The sequence below is a fragment of the Homo sapiens genome, chromosome 1 (assembly GCF_000001405.40).
Source record: "Homo sapiens chromosome 1, GRCh38.p14 Primary Assembly".
Classification (NCBI taxonomy): domain Eukaryota; kingdom Metazoa; phylum Chordata; class Mammalia; order Primates; family Hominidae; genus Homo; species Homo sapiens.
In genome coordinates, this window is record NC_000001.11 from 36113818 (window position 1) to 36129483 (window position 15666).

The 15666-nt window shown below is 57.2% G+C and overlaps 1 protein-coding gene across 2 annotated transcripts in view, besides 3 other annotated features; it reads right to left on the bottom strand.

The window, feature by feature from the left end:
* Positions 1 to 11405, bottom strand: part of COL8A2 (collagen type VIII alpha 2 chain) — a 29984-nt gene extending 18579 nt beyond the window's left edge. For both annotated transcript variants that reach the window (NM_001294347.2, NM_005202.4), the window contains exons 1-2: positions 11240 to 11405; positions 1891 to 1935 (exon numbers count right to left, since the gene is read on the bottom strand). The gene's annotated coding sequence lies outside the window, so the exon portion shown is untranslated. The remainder of the gene's footprint in view (positions 1 to 1890; positions 1936 to 11239) is intronic.
* Positions 172 to 1112: an enhancer, noted in NCBI's record as "H3K27ac-H3K4me1 hESC enhancer chr1:36579590-36580530 (GRCh37/hg19 assembly coordinates)". NCBI's record gives its function as "activates a minimal SCP1, AML or CMV promoter by ChIP-STARR-seq in primed H9 embryonic stem cells {active_cell/tissue: H9 hESC(primed)}" and the evidence as "EXISTENCE:reporter gene assay evidence [ECO:0000049][PMID:30033119]".
* Positions 1113 to 2053: an enhancer, noted in NCBI's record as "H3K27ac-H3K4me1 hESC enhancer chr1:36580531-36581471 (GRCh37/hg19 assembly coordinates)". NCBI's record gives its function as "activates a minimal SCP1, AML or CMV promoter by ChIP-STARR-seq in naive and primed H9 embryonic stem cells {active_cell/tissue: H9 hESC(naive and primed)}" and the evidence as "EXISTENCE:reporter gene assay evidence [ECO:0000049][PMID:30033119]".
* Positions 8717 to 8917: a silencer, noted in NCBI's record as "peak176 fragment used in MPRA reporter construct". NCBI's record gives its function as "represses an SCP1 promoter by STARR-seq MPRAs in K562 erythroleukemia cells {active_cell/tissue: K562}" and the evidence as "EXISTENCE:reporter gene assay evidence [ECO:0000049][PMID:32103011]".

Genomic DNA, 15666 nt, shown 5'->3' on the forward strand with positions numbered 1-15666 from the left:
CCTCAGTTTCAGAAGTAGCATCGGAAGGAGGCTTGAAGGAGAGATCAGAGTTCAACAGGCCCACGGGGGCAGGTGATGGTGGGACGGTCCAAGCTGAAATCAGAGCAAATGACTGGATGAGGAAGGCTTCCAGGGTAGGGGGGCAACCAAGGAGCAGTGAACCTGGGGCTCTGGAACTCGGGAGAGAGACATGGGCTAGAGGTAAAAATACAGGTTCGTGGCTGGGCGCGGTGGCTCATGCCTGTAATCCCAGCACTTTGGGAGGCTGAGGCAGGCAGATCATGAGGTCAGGAGATCAAGACTATCCTGGCTAACATGGTGAAACCCCATCTCTACTAAAAATACAAAAAAATTAGCTGGGCGTGGTAGAGGGCGCCTATAGTCCCAGCTACTCGGGAGGCTGAGGAAGGAGAATGGCGGGAACCTGGGAGGCGGAGCTTGCAGTGAGCCAAGATCGCACCACTGCACTCTAACCTGGGCGACAGAGCGAGACTCCATCTCAAAAAAAAAAAAAAAAAATACAGGTTCGTTGGCGGGGTTGCTGCAGCCTGGAGGAGGCCCACGGATTCCCCCTTGGGGAACACGCCTACATTTAGGGAGTGAGTGGAGCCCACCACAGCCCTGGGCTCCTCCCCCAACACACTAGGATCCAGACAACCCAGACGTCTCACTGCCTCCCTGTCCCTGCCTTTTCCTGCATGATCCTCTCTGCTGGGTTGCCCTTTCTACCTTTCTCCTCCATGGAAACATATTAGTTCTCATTTAAGACCCAGCTCAAAAGCCTCCTCCTCCAAGCAGCCTTCCCTGCCTCCCTCAGGCAGAACAGCTCCTTCTGGGCACCCACCTGCATGAAAGCACCTCTTCCCCACCCACACCTCCCTCCTGCCTGAGGCGGGCACAGGGCATGTGCTCGATGAAGCCTGTAGCCTGGGGGCTCCAGGTCCAGGCCTCTGAAAAACCCACCTCCCTTGTCCAGCCAAGCCCTCAGGTGGCTTATCACAGGGCCACTTTCTCTTTGTTGCTCTTCCTGAGTCCTTCTTGGTTCTGGGCTGGAGGGGGCTTGGACCGAACTCCCTCCTGCAGGTGACCAAGCCCCTGGCCTCTGCCCATCTCTGAGTCTAGGTTCTCCGCTGCTTCCCTAGGGAGGAGCATCTCAGAATAACAAAGTGCCCAGGAAGGTAAGAACAGCCGGGCAGGGGCAGATGGACTAGAAAAGGCCCGGCAGTGGGCAGACCTGAGGGCAGCCATGTACCCTCAGGCAGGTAGCCAGGCAGCTGGCCCTTCCCCACCCAGGGGCTCCGGCCTCAGCTGGGGCCGTCGCTTGCCTCCCAGCAGAGGCCTTGAGCTTCTGATGGGAACTGGACATCCGAGGGCCCCTACAGACCCAGCCACCCCCAGGCCTCAGGCAGGGGCAGGCGGGGCCTCCTCAGCCTCCAATCCCTCACCTTCTGGTTCGCATTTGCAGCCTTTTCCGGAGCGCCACCCGCCACCCGCTGCCTCCCCACGCCTGCCAAGATTCCTGGGCCTCTGCGGCTACCCTGCGTGGTGGCGGCAGCAGCGGCAGCAGGAGGGGCTGGGCTGGGCAGGGAGGGGGCCTGGCGGGAGCACAGCCAGGCCACTGCACCCAGGCTGGGCCAAGCAAACACGGCCCCGCCAAGGAGCCAGGCGAAATAGTTCACAAATGAGAAAAAGCTGCTTCCGAGTTGGGCCAGGGTTTTAAAGCCCGGGCTGCAGGGAGCTGAGGTCACATACAAAAGGGGTGGCTCACAGGACTCTCTGGGCCTGGGAGGGGCTTCCGGTGCAGCAGGAGGGAGTGAGGTTAGACAGCAATGAACACAGGCCTCATCTGGCCTGAGATATCAGAAAACCCCATCCCCAAACCTAGCTTACCTTTCAGGTCGGAGGGGCCTGGGAAGGTTCCAGCAGAGGCAGGGCCTGAGGATGAACAAGAGAAACAGTGAGGCTATGGGGCAGTGGCTCAAGCTTGTAATCCCAGCACTTTGGGAGGCTAAGGTGGGAAGACTGCTTGAGCCCAGGAGTTTGAGACCAGCCTGGGCAACATAGGGAGACATTGTCTGTACTAAAAATTTTAAAAAATTAGCTGGGCATGATGGTGCACGCCTATAGTCCCAGCTACTTAGGAGGCTGAGGTGGGTGGTATTGCTTGAGCCCAGGAGTTCAAGACTGCAGTAAGCTATGATTGCACCACTGCACTCCTGAGACAGGGCAAGACTCTGTCTCAAAAAAAAAAAAAAGGAGGAACAGTGAGACGATGACATCAGGAGCCTGGGAAGCCTCCTGCCCTAACCCACAGCCACACCAGTGCCTGCCCCGGGCTTCTTACCAGAACCCCCTGCTGGAAACCCGGCCCCAGTCTCAGTCTCTCTTCTCAGTTCCCTCCTCCCCTGAGGGAAGCAGGGTATGTGCCCCATACTCCACAACTCCATTCATTCAGTGCACACTTAGCAATACCCACGGGGTGCCTGGCCCTGGATTCAAGGAGTTCCTACTGTCCTAGGGCCCAGGCTGAGGATGCCCCTTCTGTGTCCCGGGTTCCCATGCTGGAGAAGTCCCTCCCATATGTCAGCTCTGGTTTGGGGTGGCCCCTACTTTGGGTTAGGATCCCTGCTGGGGAAGCTTCTACTATGTGGAGGACCCAAGCCTGGGTCATGGACCACAGAAATGGTTCAACCCCATACCCTGCCCTGCCTTGCCCTGAAGGGCTGGGGGCATCAGACAAGCGGTCATCACACAATTGGCAAAGATCTCTGGGCTGTGGGAGCATGAAGCAGGGAATACTGCCGACTTAAGCTTCCCCTGAAGGCTTCATGGAGAAAGGGACACTGCAGCTGGGTCCTGAAGGATGAGTCGGAGTCTGAAAGGCAGATGAGGTGATAGAAGGAATTTCAGGTAGTAATATACAGGGAAGGTCCAGAAGTGCTGTGGGATGGGGAGGCTGGGGCAACATGGTGAGGAAATCTGAATGCCATGCTTGCATTTCTCTGGAGAGCAATGGGGAGCCATGGAGGGTTATTTAGTGGGGGAAGTGATGTGGTCAGAGCCCTGGATGGCTAGGTCCCCATTTCTGCCTCAATCAGGTGTGGTGCCAGGATCTAACAAAAGTCGTAGTCCAGGTCACATAGCTGTACGCAGAGGATCCAGAGCTAAAGTCCAGACCCAGACATGACTCCGGGGTAGATGGGGAGGGGATGCCCAGCCAGCCCACCTGGCAGGGAGGCCTGCAGGCCGCGTCACTCTCTCCCCCAGCTGCTTGCTTGCCTCTGCCTGCTCCCATGGAAACTCTGACATCCAGTCCTGTCTGTAGCTGCACAAGCAGCCAGATGCTGGAGCCAGCAGCAACTAGGCCTTCTCTCCAACTCAGCTGAGCCCTGCCTCCATCCTGCCACTCTGAACACTATGACCCCAGAGCTGGGTCATGGGGCCACAGCCTGGATGATGGAGCCCAGGTAGGAGGACCCTCCAGCTCAGCTTAGCCCCAGCTTCTCCGGCCCCAGCCCCGTCCCTGCACCATGAGACTCTGGGAGAAGAAATGACTTAAGCTGGCTCTGGGCTTTGAAGGATGAACATGGATTTAACTGGTTGGTAGTGGAGAGAGGTGATCAGTCCTGGGCCAAGGCAACAGCATGTGTGAGAGTGTAAAAGCCCTGAATATATTCAGGGGATGGAGAGAATCCAAATAAAATAGACAAACACATGAACTAACTAATCATAGCTAATATTCATTGTGTACCCACTGTGTGCCAGGTACCGTTCTGGGTGTTCTCATGAATTATCTCATTTAATCCTCACAACAACCCAGTGACAAAAGTATTTCATCTTCCCTTTTTACAGATGAGAAAACTAAGGGACAGAGAGGATAAGTAACTGGCCCAACATCACACAGCTCATGAAAAGTAGAGCCTGGAGCTGGGCACAGTGGCTCACACCTGTAATCCCAGCACTTTGGGAGGCCAAGGCAGGAGAATCACTTGAGTTCAGGAGTTTGAGTCCAGCCTGGGCAACATAGTGATACCCCCATCTCTTAAAAAAAAAAAAAAAAAGTAGAACCTGAATTTGAACCCTGGCTGCAGGCTCCAAAGCCTAGGCTTTTCACCATACAGATGATTTGAGGAGAGGAGACCTGGCTGGGGCCAGACTGAGAAATGCCTTGAATATCAGGATCAGAGATGCGGATCCTACCTAAAGCTGCTTCCCCATTCCCTTCCCCCATGTTAACCGTTAAGAACAACGGTGTCTGCATCCCAAGTTCATTGTATGCACTGGACATAGCACTAGGCACACTCCTGGCACTATTGGCTCCTGTAACCCTGGAAGGTTGGAACTGCTGTCCCATTTTACTGAGGAGGAGCACTGGGTCCCAGAGAGGTCACATCCATTCTCTAAGGAAACCAGGCTAGGAAGTGAAGGAGGTGGGATCTGAACCCAGCTCTGCCTGGCCCCCAGGTGGCTAAAGCCCTGTATACCTGGGCTCCCTGAAGACCTCAGCCACGGGCCCTGCCCCCTACTCCTGCTCTACCCCACCTGTGCTGCCTCAACCTAGATGGCACCAGGGACAGGCAAGGCTGGGAGCAGAGTGGGCAGCTACTATCAGGTGCCTCAGGAGTCCACTCCAGTGGGCCAAGGCCCCCTCTGTCTTACAAATAGGAAGCTGGGGTGAGTGGGTAAGCCAGGGCGGTGCCTGAGCCGACTTCAATGGGACTCTGTTCTTAACCTTCACCCCCAGCTGCCTTCCCTAATCCCCTCCTGGAGCCCCTCCCCTGGCGACGTCTCCCCTTTGCACAGAGCCTGCCGCTGTTGGCTAAATCCCAGACCAGATGTGGGTGGGACAGTCTGCACCCCCCGCCCCCCACCCCCAACCAGCTTCTGAGAGCTGCAGGGTTCCAGGGAGGCTGGCCAGGGCCTCAGGCCCGCTTCCCCATTCCAACTTTCCAGACTGAGGTGCTGATGGCCATGAGGTGAACAATTGGCTCCTGCCAGAGATGGGGCTCATGGGAAAATTTCCCATTTCTGAGCTCCTACTACGGGCAGGCTCTGGACTAAGAGTCTTGCTTTAAAAATCATGTCGGATTAAGAGGACCTCTCTGGAGCCCAGCTGCATGCATCCTTATCTCAGCCCTAGCTCTTACTAGCATGAGACCTCCACCTGGGCCTCAGCTTCTTCATCAATGAAATGGGAACTCCAGGCATTATTTACTCCCGTAACCCTGGAAGGCTGGAACTGCTGTCCCATTTTACTGAGGAAGAGTGCTAGGTCCCAGAGAGGTCACATCCATTCTCCAAGGTAACCAGGCTAGGAAGTGAAAGGGGTGGAATCTGAATCCAGCTCTGCCCAGCCCATATAAAGCTGCCCAGCTCAGCTTCACAGAGCATTTGTGAGGATTAAACAAGTTAATTTTGTGTAACGGACTCAGAGCAGTGCTTGGCATATAGGAATCCTAAATAAATATGCCCTATTATAAATATAATCACTGGCCTGGCACAGTGGTGAACCCAAGTTCACCATTTGCCCAAGTTCCCCCAGCCAGGGAAGGATGGTCCCAGAGCTTGGCCCCAAGCTAAGCAAGTCCAAAGATGAGGACAACCTTCTGGCTCCCCCAAGCTGAGGCATGGTGTGTACTGGGGTGAAGGTCAGTCCCCCGCACCCCCTCAGTCCCTCCTGCCTGACCCCCAGGGGTTCCAACCCCAATCCAGCCCCTGCTGCCGCTGCAGGAGGGGGCTCTGCATTCCTGGCTAAGCAGCTGGATTTGCTGTGCTCCAGGAACTATGAAAAGAATGCTTGCCATGAGCAGAGCCGTGGTCGCCTGTCAGGGAGCGTGGCCTGGAGTGCCCACGCAGAGCTTGGTGGCAGCCAGCACAGTGGGAAGGAAGGAGGCTAGCCAGAAAGGAGAACTTCCGGGTGGTGGGGGCTGTGGACACTGGACGGGTGTGGAGACCAAAGAGTTGGCCACCTGGGATCTTTCAGGAGATAACTGACCCCTCTACCCCGCAATCTAGGTTTCTCCTCACCACAGGTTGTAAGGAGAGGCAGGCTGGCACTGCTGGCCCAGCTCATGGATGGGGTTACACAGACTCAGAGGAAAACTCTCCTGAGGTCACACAGCAGCCAGTGGCAGAATTGAGACCAGAGGCCAGGACCCCCAGCTCAGGCCCCGCCTCTTCACAGAGGCTTCCCTCCCTTGCAGGACCCACCAGGGACCACCAAGGGTTCCTAGATAATAGAAAATACCATCCCAGCCCTCACGGTTCTGGGCTCTCTCTGGGTCTGACCTTCTCATGCCTGCTATTCCTCTTTCCCCCTCCACAAAAAACCCCTTGTGCTATGAAGATGCCCCACACACTGTAGACGTACGACAATTGAGATTCCATTCCTTTTGGGAGGCTCAGGCGGGCGGATCACTTGAGGTCAGGAGTTCAAGAACAGCCTGACCAACATGGCGAAACCCCGTCTCTACTAAAAATACAAAAATTAGCAGAAGTGATGGTACACATCTGTAATCCCAGCTACTAGGGAGGCTGAAGCAGGAGAATTGCTCAAACCCAGGAGGTGGAGGTTGCAGTGAGCCAAGATTGCACCACTGCACTCCAGCCTGGGTGACAGAGACTCCATCTCAAAAAAATAAATAAAAAGAGGACGGGCACAATGGCTCACGCCTGTAACCCCAGCACTTTGGGAGGCCGAGGCGGGCAGATCACAAGGTCAGGAGTTCGAGAACAGCCTGACCAACGTGGTGAAACCCCATCTCTACTAAAAATATAAAAATTAGCCAGGCTTGGCAGCGTGTGCCTGTAATCCCAGCTACTCAGGAGGCTGAGGCAAGAGAATCACTTGAACCCGGGAGGCAGAGGATGCAGTGAGCCGAGATCATGCCATTGCACCCCAGCCTGGGCGACAGAGCGAGACTCCGTCTCAAAAAAAAAAAAAAAAATAGAGAGAGAGAGAGGAAGGAAGGAAGGAAGGAAGGAAGAAAGGCCAGGCATGGTGGCTAACACCTATAATCCCAGCACTTTGGAAGGCCAAGGTGGGTGGCTCACTTGAAGTCAGGAGTTCAAGACCAGCCTGGCCAACATGGTGAAACCTTGTCTCTACTAAAAATACAAAAATTAGCCGGGCCTGGTGGTGCACACCTGTAATCCCAGCTACTCAGGAGGGTGAGGCAGGAGAATCGCTTGAATCCAGGAGGTGGAGGTTGCAGTGAGCCAAGATCGCGCCACTGCACTCCAGCCTGGGCGACAGAGTGAGACTCCGTCTTAATAAAAAAAAAAAAGACCAGGCATGGCACGGTGGCTCACTCCTATAATCCTAGCACTTTGGGAGGCCAAGGCGGGTAGATCATGAGATCAGGAGTTTGAGACCAGCCTGGCCGATACAGTGAAACTCCATCTCTACTAAAAATACAAAAATTAGCTGGGCATGGTGGTGCTCACCTGTAGTCCCAGCTACTCAGGAGTCTGAAGCAGAAGAATGGCTTGAACCTGGGAGGCGGAGGTTGCAGTGAGCCGAGACCATGCCACTACACTCCAGCCTGGGCGACAGAGCCAGACTCTGTCTCAAAAAAAAAAAAAAAAAAAAAAAAAGTTGCTGTTCTAATTCCTTCTTATTGGCCAGGCACAGTGGCTCACCCCTGTAATCACAGCACTTTGGGAGGCCAAGGCGGGCGGATCACCTGAGGTCAGGTGTGCAAGAGCAGCCTGGCCCCATCTCTACTAAAAATACAAAAAATTAGCCGGGCATGGTGGTGGACGCCTATAATCCCAGGTACTTGGGAGGCTGAGGTAGGAGAATCTTTCAACCTGGGAGGTGGAGGTTGCAGTGAGCCAAGATCGTGCCACTGCACTCCAGCCTGGGTGACAAGAGCCAGACTCTGTCTCAAAAAAAATTAAAAAAAAAAGAAAGAAAGAAATCACAAAACCCAGTAAGGTTCCCTCTGCTCCATGTCCTTTGAGGGAGGGCAGCCTTTGTGAGGAAGGGCACCTGGGCCTGGGATCCTGGCCTCTGTTTCGATTCTGCCTCTGGCTGCCGTGTGACCTCAGGTGAGTTCCCCTCTGAGTCTCCATAACCCCATCCATGAGCTGGGCCAGCAGTGCCACCTGGCTCTCCCCATGAGGCACTAGCCCTCCGCCACCCCCACATGTGACCTCTTCTTCCCCTTCAAAAGCCAGGAATCCCAGCCCATCCAGGCTGCATGGGGATAGTCAGCCTCCAATTCAGAACTTTCCAAGAATCTGAATAGAAGCACGGCCAGGTCCTCCCCAGTCCACTCCCAGGGTCCAACCAGAGAGGCGGAATGGACACTGATCGGAAGATCTAGGTGCTGTGCCCCCATTGCATGTGTGACCTGGAACTACTCCTCACCTCTCTGCAGGCAAAACAACTCTGGAGACCAGTACAGCATTCCCATTTTAGAGATGGGGAAACTGAGGCACAGAGCTGGGAAGTCCTAGATCTGTCTGACTCCCAATGCCAGCTCATCTCCACACAGCACATGCTGCCTTACTCAAGATCTGCTGTCCACACTCCACCCACTCTGGAAATGCCCTCAGAACAAAGTGGGCCTGGAATTCTCTTTCTGGGAGTCAGACTTCCATGACTGGTACTTGGGCACATGTGTGTCCACATATGGCCTCGCAAACCCACCCAGGCTTCAAGGCTACACTCAGCCTCCAGCTCCCAGTCATCTCAACTTATCAGACCCCAGCGCCAAACCCACATCTCCCCTGCACCTGCCTTCTCTGGGGACAGGCCACAGCCATCCAGTGCAAGGCTTCTGGCCCCATCGCCAACCGGCTTACTCCTTTCCATCTACTTCTTCCTCTCATCCCCATGGCAACCGCCCACTTCATCCCCCGTCACCTTTCTCCTTAAACTCTGCCCAGCCTCCTCTGTGATCTCCCTTGCCTCGAAGATCCCCCCTTCATCCTTGTTCCCCAGAGCAGCCAGAGTGATTCCCAGATTATATCATTCGCAGCTCACACCCTTTCTCTAGACAGGGCCCTTAGAAATCTGACCTCAAAGTCATGAGTCCCTCCCACTCCCCAGTGTGATCCAACAGTGCCCATTACTCCCATTACTCACTGTCCCTGAGAGAACCCTGAAGCTTCCCCCTCCACACCTCTGCACGAGCTGTGCCCTCAGCCAGGAACACCCTCCCATTCACCCTTTCCACCCCCTGCACCTGTCAAAATTATCATCTTCGAAAGCCCTGGCCAGATTACCTCTTAGGTGCCACCTTCCCTGATCTGCACTTTGGCTTGCATGGTGCCCCTCCTCGGGTACCTAGTAGGGCACCGTGAGACCACAGCCACACCCCAGAGGAGAGGCCGCTGTGTCTCTCTCGTTCCTCCGACCCGACACTATAATTTCCTCCTGCCACGGATGGGACCAGCGCATCTGAGACCCCACTTCCCTGTAAGAGGTGCCCCATCCCTGCCACTGAGAGTTCTGGAGCGGGCTGGGGGGCCAGCAGGGCAAGGAAGCTGGGGCTGTGCGTCCTTTGTTCCGGCTCAGGCAGGAGCAGAGAAGGTAGTGGAGTACAGGGGCTCAGGCTGACAGCCCTGCTTAGTATCTTTCTCCTCCCTCTTGCTAACAGACACATTCACTTCCATATTTTCTTTCCCCTTCCTCTGAGCCAAAGAGCGGAAATTCTCATTTTCACTGTGGTAGACGAAGTGAAACCAGAGAAAGAGACCCTGGTGAGTGTGTCTGGGTGTGAGCGTATGTGTGTGTGTGCCGTCCTGTCTGAGTATGTCTGGCTGGGCCACGTGGGGCCTGCCATGTGTCTGTAGGAGTTTGGGTGTGTGTGCATGTGTCCGCCTGTGTCTTGTGGTGGTGTATGTTTCATTAGAGGAGGGTGTCCGCATGAATCTAATGAATGTTTGGGTCGGTGTGTGACTGTGCATGGCTCTCAGAAGGGTGCAAGGCTGTGTGTGGCTGGGTGAGCATGTCTGTGGTTTCTCCTCATTATCATCTAGGGTCATTGTGTGTCCAAGGGTTTGTAGGTGTTCACCAGTCCACTGGGAAGCCAGTGACAGCACCTGTGCCCTGATGGAGACCACCAACCATGGTGTCTCTCCAGAGATCACCAACTCCTGCCCTGCGGCCCCCTCTGCTTGGGGCAGTAAGGATCAGTCGATCTTAGCTCAGTCCCCAGAGAGGAACCCCAGGCTGCCTGACCCTCCAGCCATCCAGCTCCACGGCCCCCAGATTTTTCAAATGCCCAGTACAGCTGCTGGGAGGCTGTCCTTGCCAAGGGGACTCTGCTAAGAGGAGTGGATGAGCCCCTGCTGCCAGCCTGAGCAAGAGGTACTGATAGCAGACAGGAGGGATGATTTCTGGTTGCTCCGGCACCCCTAAGGAGGTCAGCCGCACGTCTGTGTCAGGAACCCAGCATGGTCTCACACAGGCACACACACGTGCGTGCACACATACAACCAGCAAAGTTTTCCCCGTGGCAATAGCGTTCCTGGGCCCTCTGGCTGAATAGCATTTCTCTACCTGGAGGATTTCCGGGGCTAGGGTGGCTCCAGACCCAGGGCAGAGACACTGGGAGGTTGTTCTGGGGCCCTGGGACCCCAGTCCCTCTTGGCCAGGCAGCGGCCCCTCACCCCCTGCAAGTCTCAGTCTGGAGCTGGGGGGATGCTGAGCCCCTGACAGGAACATTCCTGGGAACTTGTCTTCAGTTTGGGGCGAGGGGACTGACAGGGCACCTAGAATAGGAGGAACCTGGGGGCTAAGGCAGAAAAACCTTATAACTGGAAGGTCTCCAGCAAATCAGCAATGGCAGAGAGATGGGGGCAGGAGTGAGAGCGGGGGGATGCTAAGGCCCCTCACTCCCTCCTCTCTCCTCCACTACCCTGTGAAGGCGGCTTTTTTATCCCCACTTTACAGGTGGGACGGGAGATCGGGAGGTGGTGACGCGCCCAGAGCCACATCGTCGGGGGTTGCACCCGGCACTGTCTTATGCTGGAGCCCTCGCTTCTGGGAGAGGAAGGGAGGAGGGGGCTTTACTGGGATCCTGCCGGGGAGGGAACGGGGCACAGGGAACGGGATGGGCTCCCCCATTCTAAGGCGACCCCCTGGCCCGAGTCCCCCACCGCGTCCCCACCCCGGAGTCCGAGGCGCCGGCCCTGCTATCCCGCATGGTGTTGGGGGAAGCCCAGCCCAGGTCTTGCCCTCGGAGCCCCCCAGCCCGAGCCCCGGTGCCCGCCTCCTGGCCTTTACCTGCGGGCGCGGCCGCCGGGCGCCGCTCCCGGCCCTCGAGGGCGGCCCGGGCGGCGAGGGCTCCGGGCAGGGGCGTCCGCGGCTGGGCGGGCGGCGTTGGGGTCCGGGGTCCGCGCCGGCGGGGTTCCGCGTCGCTCTGCCGGCCGCCCCTCGCGGCTGCCGGAGTGGGCGGGCGGCAGGAGGGGCGCGTCGGGGCGGGGCCTCCGCCCTCCTCTTTCCACAGCCACGGCCAAGGCCCGCGCCCCGCCCGGCCCAGCGCGCCCAGCGCGGACTCGGACGGCTGCCTCCCTCCCCGACACCCACGCCGAGCCCCCTCCACACACGCGCTCCCGGGCGGCCCGCCCCCATCCCTCCCCGTCCACCTGACCCGCGGCTCGGCCGCCGGGGAGTCCGCGCAGCCCCTGCCCTCGAGGGGCCACCTGCCTGTGGGGACGGACGCGGCTGCTGAGAAGGACGGCCAGGCGTGGTCCTGCAGGGAAGGGGCAGCTCGGGCTGGTGGCCCCCAGTGAGGAGTCCCCAGAAGGCTGCCTGCAGACGTGACCTCGGTAGGCTGAGCCCGGAGGACTCACAGGGGCCAGTCGTGACCCGCACATTCAGGCTTTAGGGCATTGAGCCGGGGTCACAGAGGCAGGCGGGAGCAGGCCAGACCTCGTCCCTCGGAAATGGGGAGTCACGGAAGGCTCTGGAGCAGGGCAGTCACGTGGTCAGATGTGTGCTTTGGAAAGAGCCTCCCGAAGCTGTGTGGAGGAAGATAGAGGCAGGCCACCGAGGAGGCTGCGGGAATACCCTGGCATGGTCCCATGAGGTGCACAGTGAGGGGGAAGGAAAGGGAGGGCCCAGTGTGAGGGGAGTGAGGAGGCGAACTAGGCAGAGTTTGGGCGAGGGGCCTAGGAAGAAGCAGTGTCAAGGACAGTGCGCAGGCTTTGGGCTAGGCCTGGGGGCGGCAGGGTCTAGGAGAAGAAGGAGGACGGATGTAATGAATTGGATGAGCCTGTGGGACTTCCATGGATCCGGAAGGGAGGTGAGAGTTCTGGGATAGCGAGGAGGAATCCACGGTTTGCAGATGGCGACTGATGCCATAGAATAAGGAGCGGGCCCAGGGAGGCGGGCAGGGCGCGGGCAGGACACTCATCAGCATTCACGGGGCTGCCCAGGGAGAGGGGTCGGCAAAGGAGACTGAGAAGATGGCAGGGACCGGGAGAGCAGTGTCCCAGAAGGCAAAGGCAGAGTGCTTCTAGAAGGCCAGGGAGGCCCACGGGATGGGCTGTCACAGAAGGACATTCTTAGGGACAGCAATTAAGGGTTGGAGGTTGGGGTGGGGGTAGGGGCAGTAGCCAGGCAGCAGGGGAGAAAGGAGGAGGCAGCAAGTGCAGAGGGAAGGGGAGATGAGGTCAGGAAAGGATTTTGGGGTGTGTGTGTGTGTGTGTCTGTGTGCGTGTGTGCATGTAGGTGAGTGTGGGTGTCTGTGTGTGCATGTAGGTGGGTGTGGGCGTGTGTGTGCGTGCATGTGTGTGTGCGCGTGCCTGTGTGTGTACGTGTAGGTGGGTGTGTGTGTGTGTGTGTGCATGTGTGTGTGTGTGCGTGCCTGGGTGTGTGTGTGCATGCGTGTAGGTGGGTGTGGGCATATGTGGAGGTATGTGTGCTTGGGTGTGCAAGTGTGTGTGTGCGCGCATGGGTGGGGGGTCAGCATGTGTGTAGGTGTGTGGAGGGGTGGGGGTGTGTATTTGTGTGCGTGTGGGGAGGTATGTGCGTGGGGGGGTGTGGGGGGTGTGGCTGCATTTGGGTGTGTGGATGTGGCTATGTGGCTTTGTGTGGGTGTGTGTGGCTGTGTGGGTGTATTGTAGCTTTGTGTGTGTGGCTGTGTGGGGGGGTGTGAGTGGGAGTGTGTGTGGGGGGCTGTGTTTGGGGGTATGGGTGTCTGTGTGTGTGGGTGTGTGGGTGCCGCTGTGTGTTTGTGGGTATGGGTGTGTGTGTGGCTGTGTGTGGGGATGGGAGTGTGTGTGTGGCTCTGTGTTTGTGGGTGTGGGTGTGTGTGGCTGTGTGAGTGTGGGTGGGAGTGTGTGTGTGTGTTTGTGTGTCTGTGGGGGGGTGTGGGTGGCTGTGTGTGGGGGTGAGTGTGGCTGTGTGTGTGTGTATTTTCAGTGGGAAAGAGCAGAGCCCTCACCAGGTCCAGGAAAGGAGCAGGGAGGGCCCCAGGCTGTCTCGGGTCAGGGCCCACCCCCCTCAACCTTCCCCCTTCTGCTGCCTGCCCTCTGAGGGCCTCCCACTTTTCTGTCCCCCTGCCAAGGTACACACCAGCCCCGCCACTCCACAACGGGGCCTCTCACCCTCACCTACCGTCAGAGCCTGGCCCACTCCATCCCACCCGTCAGAATTGGGGGCAATTGCCAGGGGTCTTTGGGTCTGGCCTCCTGGCCTGAACTACAGGGGAGCCAGGCTGGGGCACTGCCCAGAGAAGGGAGGGGGCCTGGCTGGCAGGGTGCCTAGGAGGACACCGACTGAGGGGAGATTGCAGAGTTCTGACCCTGAAGCTGGTGTGGAAACCAGACCCTGCATGGGGATCTGATGGGGGCTGAGTGTGCATGGGGACGGGCTGGGAGGGGGTGGGAGCTAGGCAGCAGGGACTAAAGGTTGACAGCAAAGACCCTGGAGTTAGACTGCCTGGGTTCAAATCCAAGTGCCACCACCTACCAGCCACATGCCATTGGGCAAACACTTAACCTCTGGTGCCTCAGTTTCTCCATCTGGGAAGCTCTCATAGGCATGTTGTGAGGATGACAGTCAATCCATGCAGAGCACTTCACTCTGAGTGTGAGCTGTTTAGAGAGAAGGGAGGGAGCGCTGCATGAAGTGGGGCCTGGTGACACAAACGGGCAAGGGAGGGGCATGCTTTGTGGGAAAGGGACTCCCATGGGCTTCACACCCACATTCAGACACAAATTCAGCTGGTCCCCCACTCAGATCCCACCCCTGGGTCTCCTGACTCACTCCTTACACTTTTCCTGGGGCCCTCAGGCCTGATTCTATGAGGTACACACCTGTCCCCAATCCCCTCCCTTTCCCCCCAACCCCTGCCCCACCTGCCCCTGCCCAGTGCTTTGCAGGGAGGGAGGGCTGCAGCTCCTTCTCCTTTCAACCAGCCCTGGACGCCAAGTCTGGGCCCTGTCCCGTGGCCAGATCCTGTGGCCCTGGTGTTCATTGGCCATCAGGCGCCTCCCCAACCCCAAGGGGGCCTCAGCTCCCCATCCCCCAGTAGAGGCTGACAGCTGTGCCATGATCTTGTGGCCGCTGTCTCCTTATCCACCAGCTATTTGCGCAGAGGTCGTGGACTCTCACACCAAGCCTTATCTCTTGACAAGGCCAAACTCCCAGCCAGACTCCTTACCCGCCCCTGCCAGGGGCTTCCACCTTGGCCTGTCTCTGGTGGTGTCTGGATATCAATGGGTCAGCTCTGCCTATGATCATCTGCTGTGTGGCCTTGGGCAAGTTGCTGCCCCTCTCTGGGATTTAGTTCCCTCAGCCACGACAATCAGAAGCTGGCCAGTGAGGCTTCAAGGACCGTTCTAGGCCTGGGCAGGGGTATCAAATGGGGTGGGTAGTTAAACTGAACCAGACGCAACATGTAACTTTCTAGCCCGGCCCCTGGCAGAGTCATCTCTGGCACCAGCCTAGTGGTTCAGACAGTGGGCTGAGGAGTCCAGCAGACCTGGTTTGGATCCCAGTGCTGCCTCTCTGTAGCTGTGGGCAAGTGACCTCATTTCTCTAAAACCTCAAATTCCTCCTTTATGAAAGGTGGATAACAGCCCCTAATGATGAACAGGAAACACTCACAGGGCTCTTGCCTCATGCCAGGCACTATTCTGAGCACTTTATGTGGATTAACTCATTTAATCCTTATAACAGCTCTTTGAGGTTGGTCTCCTTATTGTCCCCACTTTGTAGATGGGAAAACTGAGGCACAGAGGGCTTAAATCACTCGCTCACTCATGGCCACACAGCTGGGAAGTGAGAGCTGGGATGTGGCTCCAGGCAAGCTGGCTCACCCTCTTCCATTTTCCTATTGTGCTGTCAGCTCTCTTAGAAGAGATATTGAGCTCCGCCTGTAATCATAGCACTTTGGGAGGCCGAGGCAGGCAGATCACAAGGTCAAGAGATCAAGACCATCCTGGCCGATATGGTGAAACCCCGTCTCTACTAAAAATACAAAAATTAGCCGGGTGTGGTGGCATGTGCCTGTAGTCCCAGCTACTCGGGAGGCTGAGGCAGGAGAATTGCTTGAACCTGGGAGGCAGAGGCTGCAGTGAGCCGAGATCGTGCCACTGCACTCCAGCCTGGCGACAGAGCAAGACTCCATCTAAAAAAAAAAAAAAAAAAAGACAAAGAAGAAGAGATAATGAGGCCGGGTACGGTGGCTCAAGCCTGTAATC